Raw genomic sequence first — 21,458 nt, 5'->3', positions numbered from 1 at the left:
AGGAACTAGCATTCCTTGAGGAAATGGCTGAATCCAGGTTTTGAACCAGAAAAGTACAAGGTAACCTTGCAACATCTTTTTATGTCAGAAACTAAGTAAATACTAAAAAAAAAACTGATGGGCTCAGGAGACAGCTTAACGAGGCTTTAACTTGCCAAATTTGGGACAACTTAGCCTTCAAAAAATACTGACTATAAATGGATTGTAATGTATTCGATCTTAAAAGAAAAGGATCCATGAGTATAGGGTGATACTAAAACAAACGTTTAAAAAGAAGAACAACCCTAACAGTAAATGTGAAGGTGGGGAAGCGAAGGTCTTATTTACCAAAGGATGTCAATCAGTTCTTATAGAAATCTACAAGTAAACCAACACTTAGCCTGAGGTAAGTGCTAAGATGTTAGGTTAGTATGGGAGCACAAAAGACTCATCTATATCAGAATGAGAGGAGAGGAGTAAGGGACAGCTTTCTAAAGATGTGATACCTGAGATGAATTTTGAAGAAAGGTTCAGAAGTGGCTGAAGTGGTAGAAGTAGCCACTTTCATAAATATTTACTCAGGCACAGATCACCAATGAAAGCTAAAACCACTGGGTGAAAGGTTGTTGGCAAACAGGATATTCATACAGATCTCAAATTGTCACACACTAAATTAGTTTTAAAAAAGGGGGAAAGGAATAAAATAAGTAGAAATAAAATATAATAAATAAAATCAGTAAAATAGGAAAATCTGGCAAACTCCAGTTTAATTAAATGACCAATTTTAACATCACCAGTAATTGGACAAACTGACCTCATGCACCTTTAATTTGTGACACTGTGATGAAAACAACATAAATTATTTTCTTGCCAAAAATGTGTGAACTGAGTGTAATCATGAAAAAAAAAACAATTAGACAAAGCCAAACTGAAGGGCATTCCATAAAACAACGGGACTGCATACTTCAAAAATACTAATGTCCTGAAAGATTTAAAAAAAAGCTAGGGAACTATTTTGATTAAAGGAGACTAAAGAAATATGATATGGAAACTTGATTAGATCCTATATCTTAAAAAATCTAAAAAAGGGATTTTTTTGAACAATTAGAGATGTTTGAACATGGACATTAGATAACAACATTCTATCAATGTTACATGTTTTGAGTGAGATAACTGTATTGTGGTTATATGGGAAAATGTCCTTGTTAGGAGATACAGGCTGAAGTATTCAGGTATGAAGTGTCATATCCATCACCTGCCTCCTTCATTCTTGAGATCTGTAGGTTACTCTCAAATGGCTAGGCCAAATAATCTCTTCGTATGTATACTTATGCAGCATATGTGGCAAAATGTAACCACTGGTGAATCTAGGTAAAGGGTGCGGTGATTATTATGTTATTCTGACAACTTTTCCTTAAGTGTGAAAAATTTGAAAGAAAGAGCTGGGAAAAATTAAAGGTAGCTATAATAATGATACAAAAATTGTGTATAACTTCTAAACAGAGAGAAGGGGAAAAGAAACTCCATCAATCAAGCTAAAGGCAGCAAAGGAAAATTTGAAAAGAAGCAACGAGACTGTTTAACAAAGAACATCAAATAAGATGATGGAACTAGAAGAAAAACACCAATGTCCTTAATTATATAAAAACATCAATGTCCTTAATTATATAAATTTTTAACCCTCAATTGGGTTAAAAAATCAGATTTGTACTAAGAGATGTATCTTTAAAAGCAAAAGAAAGAATAAAAAGATCAACAAGTAAAACAAAGTAGGAGTCAGAATTAATATTAGACAAAATAAAGGTGAAAAATACTAAATGCAAGAAATAATATTTTAGATGACAAAAATGTATGAGCCATAAAAAAGTCATGAGTTTTTATAAACCTAAAATATAGCTTTGAAATATATAAAGCAAAAGCCAAATTCAATTCTAAAATCACACTGAGAGTATGAAACAATTGTGATATACATCTCTATACTTATCCTTTAGACCAATATATAATATAAATATATTATTTATATTTCCATGACTTAACTGATTATATAATCAGTTGATCTAAAGGGTAAGTACAGATATAGGTACATAACAGATGACACTTATGGAATCCTCTTGAAAATGATATGGTTTTTGACATTTTGTTAGGACAGAAAAATAGTGATAATTTTAAAAATGGGATAACAGTATTGTGACTACATTTAAAATTTTGTCTTTATCTTTTGGAGATATACTATTTTATGGGTGAAATGACACACTGTTGGAGATTGGCTTCAAAACAAACGGGAAAGGTTAAGGAGTGGGTGGGGTGTGATTTGATACCATTACCTGGGTGATGAGTACATGTGCTCATTGTTCTATTTCTATTTCTGTTACGTGTTTGAAAATTTCCAAAATAAGATGTTTCTAAAAGGAAATTACCAAGTCTTTAAAATGAAGAGGTGTATGTCAAGCTTAGGGGTGGTAGCGAAAAGATAGTCATTGTATTATTATTTATAAGAAAAAATAGAAATAACATTAATGTGCTAATAGGCAAATGGTTAAATGAATTTCAGGACAATCCAACTGAATGCAAGATGCTCTTCAAAAGGATGATGCCCATCTTTTTACAGGGATATGAAAAAAACGCTCAGGATATAGTCAGTGAAAGAGCAAGTTGCAGATCTCTCTCTTTTTCTCTGTGTCTCTTTCTACCAGTCCAGCTCTCCCAACTCTAACCCCAATACATAAATGTAGGAAAAACATCAGACAAGATACCATCCAAACCATTAGCAGTGATCATTTCTTTGGAAGGGGGGAAGAAAAGAATTAGCGAGAGGCAGAGGATGAGGTGGAGGACAAAGATCTTTCACTTTTTACTTTGTATGCTTCTGAATTATTTTACTTTTTTCCCAAGAAGCACATATTTTAAAATTAAAAAGGAAAAATGTTCATTAAAAGGAAAAGAAAACAATTGTGATTTGGCAATCTCTCTTATAAAACAGCATATTTTGCCACTTGTACTCACTCTCTAAAAAGTTCTATTTTGTGAAAATCAGTTAAAACAATTTTAGTATATATGGCTAAGCATATAGTAAGAAGTACAAAGCAGGAGTTAGGTAAATACATTCACCCCACCATGCCTGGGCATTGATTCTGACCTAAAACCTATAATTAGGATTCTATATATGCCTAACATATAACCAGCAATAACCAGCAACGACCTCCAAGGATGTGCAAGATCCTTATTATAAATAAACTTACAACCAAGTCTCTTTTGTGTCTAATATCCCTTCACCATTTTTCAAACTGAAGGGGGCATGGATAGCATCAATTTATAAGGCTGGTCAATTCAGGTTTCGTGAGGGTATTTTCAAACCAAATTTATGGGAGCATTTGGGCATTTAGAGTATGACCATTTGTACGGCGTTCTTTTCTATGCATCTCTGATGACTTTGTGAACATACAGAGATCACTGTAGACTGAAAAATGTCCTACAAGGGACAGTAGGAGCTTCTATGCCACCACTTTCCTTTAGAGAGAAAAAGAGAATTGAAAGGACATGCTAGTGTTTTACTTCCAATTATGTGGTCAATTTTAGAATAAGTGCAATGTGGTGCTGAGAAGAATATATATTCTGTTGATTTGGGGTAGACAGTTCTGTAGATGTCTATTTGGTCCAGAGCTGAGTTCAAGTCCTGAATATCCTTGTTAATTTTCTGTCTTGTTGATCTGTTTAATATCCACAGTAGGGTGTTAAAGTCTCCCACTATTATTGTGTGGGTGTCTAAGTCTCTTTGTAGGTGTCTGAGAACTTGCTTTATGAATCTGGGTGCTCCTGTATTGGTGTATGTATATTTAGGATAGTTGGCTCTTCTTGTTGCATTGATCTTTTTACCATTATGTAATGCCCATCTTTGGTTCTTTTGACCTTTGTTGGTTTACAGTCTGTTTTATCAGAGACTAGGATTGCAATCCCTGCTTCTTTTTTGCTTTCCTTTTTTCTGGGTAGCTTCCTCCATCCCTTTATTTTGAGCCTATGTGTGTCTTTGCAAGTGAGATGGGTCTCCTGAATACAGCATACCACTGGGTCTTGACTCTATCCAATTTGTCAGTCTGTGTCTTTTAATTGAGGTATTTAGCTCATTTACATTTAAGGTTAATATTGTTATGTATGAATTTGATCAAGTCATTATGATGTTAGCTGGTTATTTTGCCTGCTAGTTGATGCAGTTTCTTCATAGTGTTGGTGGTCTTTACAATTTGGTATGTTTTTGCAGTGGCTGGTACTGGTTGTTCCTTTCCATGTTTAGTGCTTCCTTCTGAAACTCTTATAAGGCAGGCCTGGTGCTGACAAAATCTCTCAGCATTTGCTTCTCTGTAAAGGATTTTACTTCTCCTTGATGTATGAAGCTTAGTTTGGCTGCATATGAAATTCTGGGCTGAAAATTCTTTTCTTTAAGAATGTTGAATATTGGCCCTCACTCTCTTCTGGCTTGTAGAGTTTCTGCCAAGAGATCCACTGTTAGTCTGATGGGTTTCCCTTTGTAGGTAACCTGACGTTTCTCTCTGTCTGCCCTTAACATTTTTTCCTTCATTTCAACCTTGGTGAATCTGACAATTCTGTGTCTTGGGGTTGCTCTTCTCAAAGAGTATCTTTGTGGTGTTCTCTGTATTTCCTAAATTTGAATGTTGGCCTGTCTTGCTACGTTAGGGAAGTTCTCCTGGATAATATCCTGAAGAGTGTTTTCCAACTTGGTTCCATTCTTTGTGTCACTCTCAGGTAAACCAATCAAACGTAGATTTGGTCTTTTCACATAGTCCCATATTTCTTGGATGCTTTGTCCATTCCTTTTCATTCATTTTTCTCTAATCTTGTCTTCTGCCTTTATCTCATTAAGTTGATCTTCAATCTCTGATATCCTTTCTTCCACTTGATCGATTCAGCTACTGATACTTGTGTATGCTTCACGAAGTTCTCGTGCTGTGTTTTTCAGCTCCATCAGGTCATTTATGTTCTTCTCAAACTGATTATTCTAGTTAGCAATTCATCTAGCCTTTTTTCAAGGTTCTTAGCTTCCTTGCATTGTGTTGGAACATGATCCTTTATCTCAGAGGAGTTTGTTACTACCCACCTTCTGAAGCCTACTTCTCTCAATTCATCAAACTCATTCTCCATTGAGTTTTGTTCCCTTGCTGGTGAGGAGTTGTGATCCTTTGGAGGAGAACAGGCCTTCTGGTTTTTGGAATTTTCAGCCTTTTTGTGCTAGTTTCTCCCCATCTTCGTGGATTTATTTACCTTTGGTCTTTGATGTTGGGACCTTCGGATGAGGTCTCTGAGTGGACATCCTTTTGTTGATGTTGATTCTATTTTTTTCGGTCTGTTAGTTTTCCTTCTAACAATCAGGCCTCTCTGCTGCAGGTCTGCTGGAGTTTGCTGGAGGACCCTCTTTGCCTGGGTATCACCAGCGGAGGCTGCAGAACAGCAAAGATTGCTGCCTGTTCCTTCCTCTGGAAGCTTTGTCACAGAAAGGCACCTGCCAGATGCCAGCCAGAGCTCTTTTGTATGAGGTATCTGTTGGCCCCTACTGGGAGGTGTCTCCCAATCAGGAGACATAGAGGTCAGGGACCCACTTGAGAAGGCAGTCTGATCCTTAGCAGAGCGTGAAGTTCAAGGCTGTGCTGGGAGGTCCGCTGCTCTCTTCAGAGCCATCAAGCAGGGATGTTTAAGTCTGCTGATGCTGCGCCCACAGCCACCCCTCCTTCCAGGTGCTCTATCTCAGGGAGACGGGGTTTTTTATCTATAAGCCCCTGGCTGGGGCTGCTGCTTTTTTTTTTTTTTTCCCAGAGATGCCCTGCCCAGAAAGGAGGCAGTCTGTCCACAGTGGCCTTACTGAGCTGTGATGGGCTCCACCCGGTTCAATCTTCAGAGCGGCTTTGTTTACACTGTGAGCGTAAAACCGCCTACTCAAGCCTCAGCAATGGCGGATGAACCTCCCGCGACCAAGCTTGAGCGTCCCAGGTGGAGCTCAGACTGCTGTGCTGGCAGCGAGAATTTCAAGCCAGTGGATCTTAGCTTGCTGGGCTCTGTGGGGGTGAGACCCACTGAGCCAGACCACTTGACACCCTGGCTTCAGCTCCCTTTCCAGGGGAGTGAAAAGTTCTGTCTCACTGGTGTTCCAGGTTCCACTGAGTTATGGGAAAAAAAAAAAAATTCCTGCAGCGAGTTTGGTGTCTGCCCAAATGGCTGCCCAGTTTTGTGCTTGAAACCCAGGGCCTTGGTGGCATAGGAACTGGAGGGAATCTCCCAATCTGTGGGTTGTGAAGACCGTGGGAAAAGTGCAGTATCTGGGCCAGAGTGCACCATTTGTCACAGTGCAGTCCCTAATGGCTTCCTTTGGCTAGGAGAGGGAGTTCCCCAACACCTTGCACTTCCCGGGTGAGGCGACTCCCCACCCTGCTTTGGCTCGCCTTCTGTGGGCTGCACCCACTGTCCAACCAGTCCCTATGAGATGAACCGGGTACCTCTGTTTGAAATGCAGAAATCGCCCATCTTCTGCATAGATCTCACTGGGAGCTGCAGACTGGAGCTCTTCCTATTTGGCCATCTTGCCAGCCGGAGCTCGGATTTTTTATTTTTCTTCCTTTCCCTATATATTTTTTTTCTGTTTCTTTCCCCTTCCCTTTCCTCCTCTCCCTAGAGGATGTGACTGAGGATAATGCTGGGTAGGGTCTTTTGACTTTGCTTCCATAACCCTATGCACTTCTGTCCGCAGGTTTTATGTTGGGCTGGGTACTTTGACCTACAAGCCAGTAGATGGGGGCTTATGGGTAATAGCAGGTTGCAGCCAATGGGGCTGGGTATATACTCGATCCTCCTTTACTGGAAAAACACTGGGTAGGGCTGGACCTGGCAAGTCCATCTACAGGTCCCCCAATGATAGGCACAAGCACCAGCTCTGAGGGAGAGTCCAGTGGGCAGCCACCAAGTGTCCAGAGGCGTGCCTCGGCATGGAGGTAGGAAACCTCCTTGGCCCCAAGTTCTCTGCATAGGAGTGTCAGAGGCAGCCTGATCTCTTAATCCAGGAGAGTGGCTGCTCCAGATGCCTGGAGATCTGCCTGGTTGTGGAGTGGAGAGGGTCTCCTTGCACCACTATCGCTGCGCAGGAAGGATGGGGTGGCTCAAGCTACTTACTGCTCCAGGCAAGCAGGTGTTCCAAATACCTGGAAATCTGTGGAGCAGAGAGGGTCCCACTGCACTGCAATCTCTGCACCAGAAGAATGGAGCAGCTCAGACTGCTGATTCACGCTAATGGGCACTCTGAATCCCTGGATATCTGCCTGGGCAAGAAGTGGAGATGGCCCCCTTGCACAAGGATCTCTGCACAGGAAGGAAGGGGCAACCCAGGCTGCTAGCCCATGAGAGCGGGTGCTTTAAATGCTTGGAGATCTGCTTATATGTAGAATGGAGAAGGCCCTGCTACACCACAGTCTCAGGAAAGTAGGCTGGGACACCCAGCAATAACACACACAGACCAGTTCTAGTTCATCAGGCTGGCCCTGGCTGAAAGTCTCACTGCCCAGGAGAAACCACAGCCATAGCAGCTCTCCTCTTGCCCAAGGCCTGTGACTGGGGAAAGCACAATTCCCGTGCCTACTGTTGAGGTATTTTCCATGGTTCTGGCTGTGGAGGACCCTACCCTGATCCAGAGCAGGTGCTCCATTCTCTACCCCAATACTAAAATGCCTGCATGGCCACACTGCTGGGTTGCCAAAGAATGGCTGACTTTAGATGCACCCAAATTAAAAATGGTATCCTGTTCTCTGTCCTGGGACTGGGAAAATGCCTGTAGCTTTATCCAGTGTCTGTCCCTATCAGCATCTCCAAGCCTCTCCTGAAGTTAGCTCCAGGATTTGGGAGAAACAAAGTGCTGTCTCTCAGCCTGGATTGCTCTGATCCTCAGTGGAAACGTGAGTCACAGAGGGAAGCTTCTACCTCTCATGTGCTGGGACTTCATTCACTTTTCTCAGCTGGACAGCATTATGGTGGCTGTTTGCCAGCATTCTCCTTCTCAGGATCTGGAGTGTTCTTCACAATTCCAGTGGATCTCCATTTTCCTTCTTGAATTAAAGCTCACAGTATTTATCTTTATGCACTGCCTTGCTATTTCCAAGTGGCTGTGGCATGCTAAAAGCTTCTAATTGTCATCTTGAAAAAAAAATCTATGAACAATGTTTGATATGAGTTGGCCAATACTCAACTGAAAATAAAAAAATTTATATGCAAGGATAGTCTCTGAGGTTGAGCATTTTTGTTCAGTGATGAAGCATTTGAATTATCAACATGGTTAATGCTATGGAAATCTATGGAACCAATTCGTTTAAGAAATGGATTCGTATCTTAATAAAGAACATCTTTTTTATTGTTTAATTGCTGAAACAAGATGTCAGCCTATTACCCTAATTAACCAGTTCAATCACAGCCATTCACATCATCTAGTACCAAGTGGTATTTTTCAGAGAAATGAACATGAGGAGGGAAACTCCTTGACTGGAAAAAAAATTGATACATATAATCATTACAGAGCTGTATATTTATATAAGACCAACTGTGAGATGAATGAAGAAATCTCTGAGATTCACTGTTGAGTAGCTTAAAATTTCCAAGTCCTCTGCTAGACTTGAAAACTATTTAGTGTTGAACAAAAATAAGATACTATATCTCACAATTCCTATATGAATGCTTCCATTCCTACTTTATTTCTGCTTTCATTTTCACGGCTCATCTACAGTCTCTCTTCCAGCCTCCCATTTGTATTTTACAACATGCATAATTACAGATTTATTCTTTAATTATCTCATTTTCATACGATTTTTATATCTCTTGAAAGATTTCTTGGAAACTTCTGTCTTTTTTATTTTCCAGAGAGGCAGAGTATTTTTAGGCAATAATATTTTACCTTATCATGCCTTTCAACTATTACAAGAAAAAGGGAAAGTAGTAAAATAAATAAACAAATACAGACAGTCACCAACTTACAATGCTTTCACTTAAGATTTTCAACTGTATGATGGTGGGAAAGTGATACGTATTGAGTAGGAACCATATTTCAAGTACTCATGCTACCATTATATTTTTCATTTTCAGTACAGTACTCAATAAATTACATGAAATATTCAACAGTTTACTATAATATAGGCTTTGTGTAAGATTATTTTGCCCAACTGTAGGCTAATGTTAGTGTTCTAAGCACGGTTAAGGTGGGCTAGGCTAAGCTATGAAGTTGGGTAGGTTAGGTTTATTAAACATATCTTCAAGCCAGGTATAGTGGTTTGTGCCTATAGTCCCAGCTGCTCAGGAAGCTGAGGCAGGAGGATTGTTTGAGCTCAAGGAGCTTGAGACTATAGTGCACTATGAGCACACGTGAGAATAGCCACTGCACTCCAGCCTGGGCAACATGGCAAGAGTCTACATTTTGTTTAAAAAAAACAGCATCTTCAACTTAGAATAGTATCAACTTATGATGGGTTTATTGAAACATAATCTTATCATAAGTTGAAGAGTATCTTTATATAGTAGAATATAATAACATACTACAGACTTATTTTCTCAAAGCATAAAGATAAACCACACTAATGATCATCCATGGGAGAGGGACACCTAGACAATGTCCTGCAAAATGAGAAATACTTGTAAGACATACTTTACATTCCAGACTGAGTCTCTTTCACCATGAAATAAAATCATTAAGAAATTTTTAGTAATATTTTAATTAAAATTTTAAGTATAGAAAGAAGGTTGTATAGCTTTACATTAAAAATAAATTAGTACGTGACTTGGCTACTTGACACCAAAGTAGCTGGTGCCAGATTCACGCTTCCATCATAATTTGATTATGAGCATCATAATTGGAAGTTGACTTGGGACGCTGGAGCTTGGTGTGGGGAGGGGCATCTGCCATTACTGAGGCTTGAATAGGTGGTAAACAAAGCTGCTGGGAAGTTCAAACAGGGTAGAGCCCACTGCAGCTAGCAGCTCAGCAAAGCCACTGTAGCCAGACTGCCTCCCTGGATTCCTCCTCCCCGGGCAGGGCATCTCTGAAACAAAGGCAGCAGCCCAGTCAGGGGATTATAAATAAAACTCCCACCTCCCTGGGACAGAGCAGCTGGGGGAAAGGGTGGCTGTGGGCACAGCTTCAGCAGACTTAAACGTCCCTGCCTGCCAGCTCTGAATAGAGTAGTGGATCTCCCAGCACAGTGCTTAAGCTCTGCTAAGGGACAGACTGTGTCCTCAAGTGGGTCCCTGAACCCAGTGCATCCTGACTAGGAGACACCTCCCATTAGGGGTTGACAGACACCTCCTACAGGAGAGCTCAGGCTGACATCTGATAGGTGCCCCTCTAGGATGAAGCTTCTAGAGGAAGGAACAGGCAGCAATCTTTGTTGTTCTTCAGCCCTCACTGGTGATACCCAGACAAACAAGGTCTGGAGTGGACCTCCAGCAAACTCCAGCAGACCTGCAGCAGAGGGGCCTGACTGTTAGAAGAAAAACTAACAAACAGAAAGGAATAGCATCAATTTCAACAAAAAGGACATCCACACTGAAACCCCATCTTCATGGGGTTTCATCTTCGATGTTGTAGGTCACCAACATCGAAGACCAAAGGTAGATAAATCCACAAAAATGAGGAAAAAGCAGTGCAAAATTGCCGAAAATGCCAAAAACCGGAAAGCCTCTTCTCCTCCAAAGGATCACAACTCCTCGCCAGCAAGGGAACAAAACTGCATGGAGAATGAGTGATGAATTGGCAGAAGTAGGCTTCAGAAGGTAGGTAAAACAAACCTCTCTGAGCTAAAGGTGCATGTTATAACCCAATGCAAGGAAGCTAAGAACCTTGAAAACACATTACAGGAATTGCCAACTAGAATAACCAGTTTAGAGAAGAACATAAATGACCTGATGGAGCTGAAAAACACAACACGATGACTTTGTGAAGCATACACAAGTATCAATAGCTGAATCAATCAAATGGAAGAAAGGATATCAGAGATTGAAGATCAACTTAATGAAATAAAGCATGAAGACAAGATTAGAGAAAAAAGAATGAAAAGGAATGAACAAAGCCTCCAAGAAATATGGGACTACATGAAAAGACCAAACCTACGTTTGATTGGTATACCTGAAAGTGACCAGGAGAATGGAACCAAGTTGGAAAACACACTTCAGGATATTATCCAGGAGAACTTCCCCAACCTAGCAAGACAGACCAACATTCAAATTCAGGAAATACAGAGAACACCACAAAGATACTCCTTGAGAAGAAAAACCCCAAGACAAATAATCATCAGATTCACCAAGGCTGAAATGAAGGAAAAACTGTTCAGGACAGCCAGAGAGAAAGGTCAGGTTATTCACAAAGGGAAACCCATCAGACTAACAGCAGACTTGGCAGGACCCTACAAGCAAGAAGAGAGTGGGGACCAATATTCCACATTCTTTTCTTTTTTTTTCTTTTTTATTTTCTAGACCACTGAGAAAATCTTTGTTTACACTAAATTTCAACAAAATTTACATAAATACATTCCAAATGTACAATTTTCACCTCTGATTTTTTCACGTCATTTAAAAGGTTAGTCTGTCCTGTTCCTGTTATTCCTTTCAGACACGAGTGTGGCACTGACGTTGGCAGGTGGAGGGGAGCTCCCAGGGAGCTGGGGGGTGCCTGAGGGCTCAGGCTGCTTGGGGCAGACTTCTGTCTGGGCCGCCAGCTTTTCAGCTGCATCCCTGCCCTCACATTCTTAAAGAAAAGAATTTTCAACCCAAAATTTCATATCCAGCCAAACTAAACTTCATAAGTGAAAGAGAAGTAAAATCCTTCACAGACAAGCAAATGCTCAGTGATTTTGTCACCACCAGGCCGGTGTTACAAAAGCTCCTGAAGGAAGCACTAAATGTGGAAAGGAACAACTGGTACCAGCCACTGCAAAAATGTACCAAATTGTAAAGACCATCAACACTATGAAGAAACTGCATCAACTAATAGGCAAAGTAACCAACTAACATCATAATGACACGATCAAATTCACACATAACAATATTAACCTTAAATGTAAACAAGCTAAATGTCCCAATTAAAAGACAGACTGGCAAATTGGATAAAGAGTCCAGACCCATCGGTGTGCTGTATTCAGGAGACCCATCTCATGTGCAAAGACACACACAGGCTCAAAATGAAGGGATGGGAGAAGATTTACCAAGAAAATAGAAAGCAAAAAAAAAAAAAAAAAAAAATCAGGGGTTGCAATTCTAGTCTCTGATAGAACAGACTGTAAACCAACAAAGATCAAAAAAGACAAATAAGGCATTACAAAATGGTAGAAGGATCAATGCAACAAGAAGAGCTATCTATGCTAGATATACATGCATCCAATACAGGAGCACCCAGATTCATAAAGCAAGTTCTTAGAGACCTACAAAGAGACTTAGACTCCCACACAATAATAGTGGGAGACTTTAACACCCTACTGTTGATGCTAAACAGATCAACAAGACAGAAAATTAACAATGATATTCTGGACTTGAACTCAGCTCTGGACCAAGTGGACCTAATAGACATCTACAGAACTCTGCATGCCAAATCAGCAGAATATACATTCTTCTCAGCACCACATCACACTTATTCTAAAATTGACCATATAATTGGAAGTAAAACACTCCTCAGCAAATGCAAAAGTAGGGAAATCATAACAAACAGTCTCTCAGACCACAGTGCAATCAAATTAGAACTCAGGATTAAGAAACTGACTCAAAACTGCACAACTGTATGGAAACTGAACAACATCCTCCTGAATGACTACTGAGTAAATAATAAAATTAAAACAGAAATAAATAAGTTCTTTGAAACCAATGAGAACAAAGACACAACGTACCAGAATCTCTGGGACACAGCTAAAGCAGTGTTTCGAGGGAAATTTATAGCAATAAAAGCCCACAGGAGAAAGTGGGAAAGATCTAAAACTGACACCCTAACATCACAATTCAAAGAACTAGAGAAGCAGGAGCAAACAAATTCAAAAGCTAGCAGAAGACAAGAAATAACTAAGATCAGAGCAGAACTGAAGGAGATAGAGATACAAAAAACCCTTTTAAAAAAATGAATCCAGGAGCTGTTTTTTTGCTTGTTTGTTTTTTGAAAAGATGAACAAAATAGACTGCTAGCTGGACTAATAAAGAAGAAAAGAGAGAAGAATCAAATAGACACAATAAAAATGATAAAGGGGATATCACTACTGATGCCACACAAATGCAAACTACCATCAGAGAATAGTATAAACACCTCTACGCAAATAAACTAGAAAATCTAGAAGAAATGGATACATTATCGGACACATACACCCTGCCAAGACTAAACCAGGAAGAACTCGATTCCCTGGATAGACCAATAACAAGTTCTGAAATTGAGGCAGTAATTAATAGCCTAGCAACCAAAAAAAACCCAGGACCAGATGGATTCACAGCTGAATTCTACCAGAGGTACAAAGAGGAGCTGATACCATTCCTTCAGAAACTATTCCAATCAATAGAAAAAGAGGACTCCTCCCTAACTCATTTTATGAGGCCAGCATCATCCTGATACCAAAACCTGGCAGAGACACAACAAAAAAAGAAAATTTCAGGCCAATATCCCTGATGAACATCGATGCAAAAATCCTCAATAAAATACTGGCAAACAGAATCCAGCAGCACATCAAAAAGCTTATCCACCACCATCAAGTTGGCTTTATCCCTGGGATGCAAGGCAGGTTCAACATATGCAAATCAATAAACGTAATCCGTAACATAAGCACAACCAATGACAAAACCCACACAGTTATCTCAATAGATGCAAAAAAGGCCTTTGACAAAATTCAACAGCCTTTCATGCTAAAAACTCTCAATAAACTAGGTATTGATGGAACACATCTTAAAATAATAAGAGCTATCTGTGACAAACCCACAGCCAGTAATGTCCTAGGCCTTCATATTCACTCACCACTCACTCACTAACTCGCCCAGGCAACTTCCAGTCCTGCAAGCTCCATTTATTGTAAGTTCCCTATACAGGTGTACCATCTTAAAAATCTTTTATATTTTCTACTGTACATTTCATGTATTTAGATATACTTAGTTACATAAATACCACAGTTGGTGACTATTACAAATTGTTACCATAAACATAACACTTACTGTGTTACAATTACCTATAGTATTCACTACACTAATATGCTGCACAGGTTTGTCCCGTAGGAGCTATGAGCTCTTCCATATAGCCAAGGTGTATAGTGGCTACTATATATACCACCTAGGTTTCTGTAAGTACACTCTACGACATTTGCACAATGACAAATTCACTTGACAGCACATTTCTCAGAACATATCATTTAACGCATCGTTAAACAACACATGACTGTATAATGTTAGCTTTTTGTAGATGCTTTTTATCAAGTGGATAAAGTTTCCTCTATTCCTGCTTTATAGAGAGATTTTATCATGAATGGATATTGAAATGTGTTAAATTTGTTAAATGTTTATTATGCATCAACTGATGCAACGTAACTTTTCTTTTGTTTGTTAACATGGTGGATTATTTTGATTGACTTTTTGAGACTTAATCAGGCTTGTATTTCTGGAAACAACCCCCCTTGGACATGGGGTACATTTTTTTAATATACTGTAGAACTCTATTTGTTAATATTAAGTTATACATATCTTTACATATACACACACACACCCACTCTCTCTCCTGGTTTTGGTATCAGTGTAATAATAGCTTCAAAAAATAAATTGGGGAGTGTTCTCTCCTTTTCTGTTTTCTGGAAAAGATTGTGTAGAATTGGTGTTTTTTTTTTTAAACATGGTAGAATTCTCCAGTGAAACCATCTAAACCTAGAGATTCCTTTTCTGGTAGTTTTAAAATTATGAATTCAATTTTCTTAATGGTTATAGAGTTATTCAAATGATCTATTCATGCATGGTGAGTTGAGTTTGCTTGTGTTGCAGGAGGAACACTGCATTTTGTCCATTTTGTCTAAGTTGTCTAATTTATGTGTGTGGAGTGGTTTGTAATATTCCTTGATTGTCCTTTGTTATATGTGGTGTCTGTAGTGATATCACCTGTTTCATTATGGTATTTAAAATTTATGCCTTTTCTTTTCCTTTTAATTTCTGTTTGAGTTTGCTAAATTTTATTAATCTTTTAACAGAACTATCCCTTTGTTTTATTGGTTTAACTATTTTTTCTCTTTTAAATATAAGTGTTTTCTTTTCTTATCTTCATTAATCTCCACCCTCTACTTGCTTTGAGTTTATTCTGCTCTTCTTTTTCTAGGTTCCTGAGGTGGAAATCTATTGCTCACTCGAGACTTTTCCTCTTTACTAATGCATGCATTTACTGCTATAAGTTTCCTTCTCAGTACATTGATATGTCACAGTTTCATGTTTATCCAGTTCAATGTATTTTTAAAATTTTTCCTTGAGACTTCTTCTTTGACCGATAGATTAGTTAGAAGTGTGTTTTTTTAATTTCCAAGTGTTTGGGAATTTTCATATCTTTCTTATGCTGATTTCCAATTGGATTCCCTACAATGGTTTCTGGTTTTCACCTGCTCTGGATGATTACGATCTCTTTTAAATTTGTTCTGGTGAGTTTTAGGGCCTAGGATAGCTCTATCTTGCCATGTGTTTCGTCAGCACTCAAAAAAAATGTGTATTCTGCTGTTGTTGTGTGGAATATTCTGTAAATGCCAAATAGATTCTTTTGGTTAATGGCATTTTGAGTTGTTTTATATTCTTGTTGATTTTCTTTTTTTTTTCCCCCTTTTAAAGTATGAAACGCTTCACAAAATTTTGTGTAATCTATATGCAGGAGACGTGTTAATCTTGTCTGTGTCATTCTAATTTTAGAAAGTGCTGCCAAAGCCAACACTCCTTGCTGATTTTCTGTCTAGTTCTATCCATTATTGAAAAACGCAAGAGAAAATTTCCAACTATAATTGTGGATTCATCTATACCTACTTTCAGTTCTGGCAGTTTTCTTTTTAAAAAAAAAATCAACTAAAGTTTATTAAATTAAGCATAAAGTTACTTTCACATTTATCTACAACCACAGTGAATACAGTTCTTGGCATGAAGACACCACAACCTTTAGAATTTAAAGCCTCCCCACCTGCAAGATTACATATATAAAACTCCCATTATTGTTTCTATAACAGTGGATTAATTCACCAAATTAAAATAGTTATATGATCTAGAATAATAAAATGGAATGATTTACTCATAAGATTCCTATTTAAAACATCTTTATTTACAAAATACTATCCTGAGAATTATAATTCCATTAAACTTCAATTTGAGCAAAAGTGCAATCACTTAAGTAATAGCAGTTACTTAAACTGAAAATGAGATCAGTCAAAATTACTTTTGAAGAAAGCAACAATATTGTCAGGTTTCTTTTGTGGTCCTGGATGTTCAGTAGCATTAAAGGCGGAATCAATCCTGAAGGGAACTCGCTTCTACCTTCAGAATGCGGGGTTGGGGTAAAATCCAGGTCTCGGGTGAAAGTAAGGAGGTAAACCCCTCGGTGGGTAGATGTTTCTCATTGCAAATGGAGCATGTGGTGGACCTGGGAAATCCCTTGGTGGAAAATAACCTCGAGAAGCTCCAAACATGGTTCCTGGAGGAGGTGGGGGGAAAGGAGGTCCTCTTCTCATGAACGGGCCCCTTGTATCCACTGGAAACAATGGTCCTCTGACTGGAGCAAGAGGTGGAGGAATAAAGCCAGGGCCAGTTGCTTCATTTTCAGCAGGGAGAGATGAATCAGGCACATTTAAATTACCAAGATCATCTTTGGCATCATTTCTACTGGATTCCATTTCTGAAGGCATTGACCCATCCATTTTATCCAAAGAAGTCATTTTAAAACTTCTGGGTTCTGCTGATCCAGACAGTCTTTCAGAATTAGAATAAAATCTGTCTTCCCTTTGAGGAGGAAGAGCTGAATCAGGATATGATTGTCCTGGTGGAGGAAACATCATCTTACAGTCCTGTTCCACCGGAGATGACAGGGACCCAGTGTCAGAAGGAGCCCTGTGAGGATCGGTTAACCTGTCACAGCTTGGTTCTCCTCTTTCATTGGTAATCTGATGGTCCAGGGGATTCCCTGGGCCTCTTGGGCCTCTTCCTCCTCCCTCCGGAAGCACAGGTGAGAGTCCCAGTGGATCCTCCAACAAAGTTTGAGGAGAGAGAAAAGCTCTCGTTTCAGATGAACGCTGACCCAATGGTGCGGGACCATTCGGGGCATGCTCTCTGCCAAATGCTGTATTTGAAACATCAAGTGCATTAGGATCTTTTTCTAAAAGTTCAAATTTCAACTCTGTTTCAGTTAATTTTTGTTTGTTGTGAGCATTTTCTTTCCTTAAATCACTGAGGTTTCTTTCAGCAGTCCGAGCTGCCAACCAATTATCATGTCCTCTTTTCTCGTAGGAAATAACCTGCTTTTGATAAAAATGAACAGTTCTCTCCAATTCTTCTTCAAGATCTTTGGCTAGCTTTCTATAGGTCTCCAGCTGTTCAGTGGCACGGCTGAGCTTTTCTTCCACTCTAGAAAGCTTCTCTTCTTCCTCTATTCGGTAATTTTCCTCCACTGTTAATTTCCTGTAGAGTTTCATTTCATTTTCTTGATAGAATTCAGTCATTATTTTAAGTTTCTGTTGAAGCTTCTGATTCTCACTTTCAAAATATATGTTTTCTGATTGCAAAGATGCTTGTTGAGTCTGAAGATTTTTAATATGCTCTGTAAGCTCTTCCTTTGTTTTGTCCACTTCAGATAACTGAATAATAATGTGGTTTCTTTCTCCTTCTAAGCTTTTTAAAGAAACATTTAACTTAGCAGCATGAATCAGTTTCTTCAAAGCTCCTTTCAGAGGATCATCTAAGTTAGCACCATTTTCCCATTGACTGTTCACTTCTAATTCCAGGTTATCATCATCCGTTGTGTCTTCTTCAAGCACAGCAGCCTGATCTTTCATCATTGGCAAGTGTCCAGTCAGGGTCTTGATGTGATTTTCTTTATCATTCAGAACTTGTTCTGCGTGTACTTTGGAGTCTTCAAATGTTATTTTCTGTTTATTAAGTTCACTCACTTGTCCTTTCCATACTTCAGCTTCTTGCTGAAAAAGCTGTTTATGGCTTGTCTGAAGTTGAGAATTTTCATTCAAAGCATCTTTTATTGCTATAGCCCGTCGTTCTTCACTCATTTTAAATGTCTTGCAGATGATTTTGGCTTCAGCTATTTGTGATTTGAGGGATTTTGACTCATCTTCTAGAGACTGTATACTTTTTGAAATATCCGCCATCAATTCATCTTGTTGAGAATGTTTAGATTTCTCTTCTTTTAAGTCTTTTTCTAGACAGAGGATTTCATCCTCAAGTTCAGAATTGGACCTGTTCAGCTTTTCACAGGTTGCCTCCAAACTTCGTGCTTCTTCTGCTGCCGCCTTCTCAAAGCTGGCATCCTCTAAAGATGACTCTACTTCATAGCCTTCATACTCTTTTTGAATAAGGCTAAACTTTTCAAGTAGTTTACATTTTTCTTCAATTAGTCCAGAAAGCGTTGCACCAAGTTTTTGCTCTCTTCCCACGTAAAGCCGACTCCTAACCGATCTAAAACTTCTCCACAAAAAAAGGAGAACAACAAAAAATCCAATAACAGCTGCACATACCACCAGTTCCGATGGAAAACCATAAGGATTCTCATCTGGTCTCATACTCTCAGGTAGTGCTGCCACAACTCTGCGTAGCTCCTCCAGGACCAGCCCCAGGTAGGGCTGAGGGGTAGCACCGGGCTCCTCCATAGCGTCGAGGCTGCTCTGGCGGTCACCGCAGTAACACTGGCCACAACAAGCGGTGGAGAACACGCAGCCTTGGGTCTGGAACCCGAATGCGCACGTGACAACCAACCGGAGCGGACCACTGTGGAGCGGGCTGCGGGGGGAGCTGGGGAACGCGGGCACCCACAGGCCTCACAGGCCCATGTTGTCCCCCACCACCTCCCCTGGCCCTCTTGTTACACTTCACATCCTGAGGCAGCGCTGGTCTGAGCCCGGCCCGCCTTAGTTCTGGCAGTTTTCACATCACATATTTTGAAGCTTTATTTTTTGGTGAATACACTTTTAAAATTGCTGTCTTCTTCATGAATTAAACCTTTGATCATTATATAATCTCTCTGTTTCTGGTAATTTTCTTTGCTTTATCTGATATACATACAGGCACTCTTGCTTTCCTTTCATTAATGTTTGTGTAATATATCTTTTTTCATCCTGTTAATTTGGTCTGCCCTGTATTGGTAAATTTCAAGTGAGTTTCTTGTACACAGCATGCAAGAAACATATAAGAAAGGGTCATACTTTTACATACACTCTTCTATTATCTGTCTCTTGGTAGACCATTCATAATTAAATGAATTATTGATACTTTAGTGCATAAGCCTGACAGTTTTTGTTTTCTCTATCAACTCTTGTGTCTCTGCTTGTTTTTCATGACTTTCTGTGGGTTATTTGAACATTTATTTTAGAATTCCATTTTGTTATTCATAGTGTTTATGATGTATCTTCTTTTTTATAGTTTTCTGGTTGCTTTTTATAGCTTAGTGGTTGTTCTAGATATTCCTTTATACATACATTATCACAGTCAATTGGTGTCATCTGTATTCCAGTTTGAGTGTAGTATAGCAACCCTATGTCATTTTATGTCTCTTTACCCTCTCAAATTTATAGTATCATTGTCTTACATCCATTTAGATTAACACCAGACAATGCTATGATTTTTGCTTGAAACATCAAACATAATTTAGGAAATCGAAATCTATGCCAATAAATAAAGTGAGCATTTTAGAGCTGCCAGAAGGAAATAGGACACGACCTGCTTTGTCTTTCATTTTTTCTTTCTTTCCTTTATATTGATCATAGATATTATGATGCCCTATCTATTAACTCCAATATCTGGATTATCTGTGAATTTGTTTTTAATAATTGATTTATTTTTTATGAGTCTGTATTTCTTGCTTTTTTGTGTATGTGGTAACTTTTTAAAAGTATGCTGAGTTTCTGGATAATATGATATAGAAATGCCCAAAAATTTTGAATTTTTTTCTGGACAGATGTTATATTACCTGCAGATCACCTTGCTGCTCTCAAGACCTAGTTTTAAGCTGTGCTATGGTAATGATATTTTATTTTCCTCTTAGGACATATGCCTTACTCCTAGGATACTGTACCTCTCCTTAGACAGAATCTTTAGGGTCCCAACTGGGTTTCTCAGTTGTTTACCAACATTTCCCCATCTGGCTGGATCTGAAACCCAGTAGGTTTCCAGGAAATTTTCAGTCCCTGATGATCTCTTCTGCTTTCCCAGCAGTTGCTTTCTACTAGGTCTCTCCTCTTCTTAGCCAACTGTCACACAGCTAAAGAGTCACGGAAGGACCAAAATGGCATTTACACACCCATTTCCAGGGTTCTTTCTCTCTCCCATATGGTACATTAACCCCCAATTCCCAACCAGCTTATTAGCTTTGAACTCTATTTTTTGCTTCTTTTGGTTACCAAGACCACTAACCTCTGGTTGGGTCACATTTTCCTGTACCAAGGTCAGGAAGATGCCTTTCTGGAAAACCCTGGCAAATGTGGTACTAACCTCATGTGTCTCACCTTCCTTAAAGATCTCATACCTGACTTGGTACAACAATGTTCTTCAATGCCTGCTGATATGGTTTGGCTGTGTCCTTACTCAGATCCCATCTTGAATTGTAGCTCCCATAATTCCCACGTGTAGCCTTGCCCACCTGAACCATGCTGAGGACCTGGTGAGAGGTAATTGAGTCATGGGGGGTGGGTCTTTCCCATGCTGTTCTTGTGATAGTGAATAAGTCTCACGAGATCTGATGGTTTTACAAAGGGGAGCTCCCCAGCACATGCCCTCTCTCTTGTCTGCCATGTAAGATGTGCCTTTGCTTTTCCTTTGCCTTCTATCATGATTGTGAGTTCTCCCCAGCCATGTGGAACTGTGAGTCCACTAAACCTCTTTCTTTTATAAATTCCCTAGTCTTGGGTATGTCTTTATTAGCAGCATGAGAACAGACTAATACAACTGCCAAGAATTTTTTTTCTATATTTTGTCCAGATTGTATAGTTTTTTATCGTGGGAGGGTGAATGTGACACCAGCTACTTTGGTGTCAAGTAGCCAAGTCATGTACTAATGTGTTTTTAATGTAGAGCTATACAGTCTTCTTTCTATACTTAAATTTTTAATTAAAATATGATAATTAAAATATTACTAAAAATTTCTTAATGATTTTATTTCATGAGGGAAGAGACTTGGTCAGGAATGTGAAGTATGGCTTACAAGTATTTTCTTGCTAGCTGTGAAATAGATTGGAGGAAGTATTATCCGGTCCCCCATTTGGCAGATG

The 21,458-nt window shown here is 39.2% G+C and overlaps 1 protein-coding gene, 1 long non-coding RNA gene and 1 pseudogene across 2 annotated transcripts in view; 1 reads left to right on the top strand and 2 right to left on the bottom strand.

The window, feature by feature from the left end:
• The window catches only part of LOC101928466 (uncharacterized), a 32,145-nt gene extending 30,252 nt beyond the window's left edge, over positions 1-1,893 (top strand). Inside the window, exon 4 of the long non-coding RNA XR_007060573.1 lies at positions 1,483-1,893. This is a non-coding gene — a long non-coding RNA (uncharacterized LOC101928466). The remainder of the gene's footprint in view (positions 1-1,482) is intronic.
• On the bottom strand, positions 15,815-15,917 carry RNU6-162P (RNA, U6 small nuclear 162, pseudogene; annotated as a pseudogene).
• CTAGE15 (CTAGE family member 15) lies at positions 16,276-18,862 on the bottom strand. The gene has a single exon (NM_001008747.2). The coding sequence runs from the start codon at positions 18,843-18,845 to the stop codon at positions 16,512-16,514; it is 2,334 nt and encodes a 777-aa protein (NP_001008747.1). The 5' UTR covers positions 18,846-18,862; the 3' UTR covers positions 16,276-16,511.
• Between the last annotated feature and the right edge of the window lie 2,596 nt (positions 18,863-21,458).

Source organism: Homo sapiens, chromosome 7, assembly GCF_000001405.40.
Source record: "Homo sapiens chromosome 7, GRCh38.p14 Primary Assembly".
NCBI lineage: Eukaryota > Metazoa > Chordata > Mammalia > Primates > Hominidae > Homo > Homo sapiens.
This window is presented reverse-complemented; position numbering and strand designations above follow the sequence as displayed.

Excerpts from the sequence above, each read along its gene's own strand:
- CTAGE15 (NM_001008747.2), bottom strand. The coding sequence starts at position 18,845 with ATGGAGGAGCCCGGTGCTACCCCTCAGCCCTACCTGGGGCTGGTCCTG.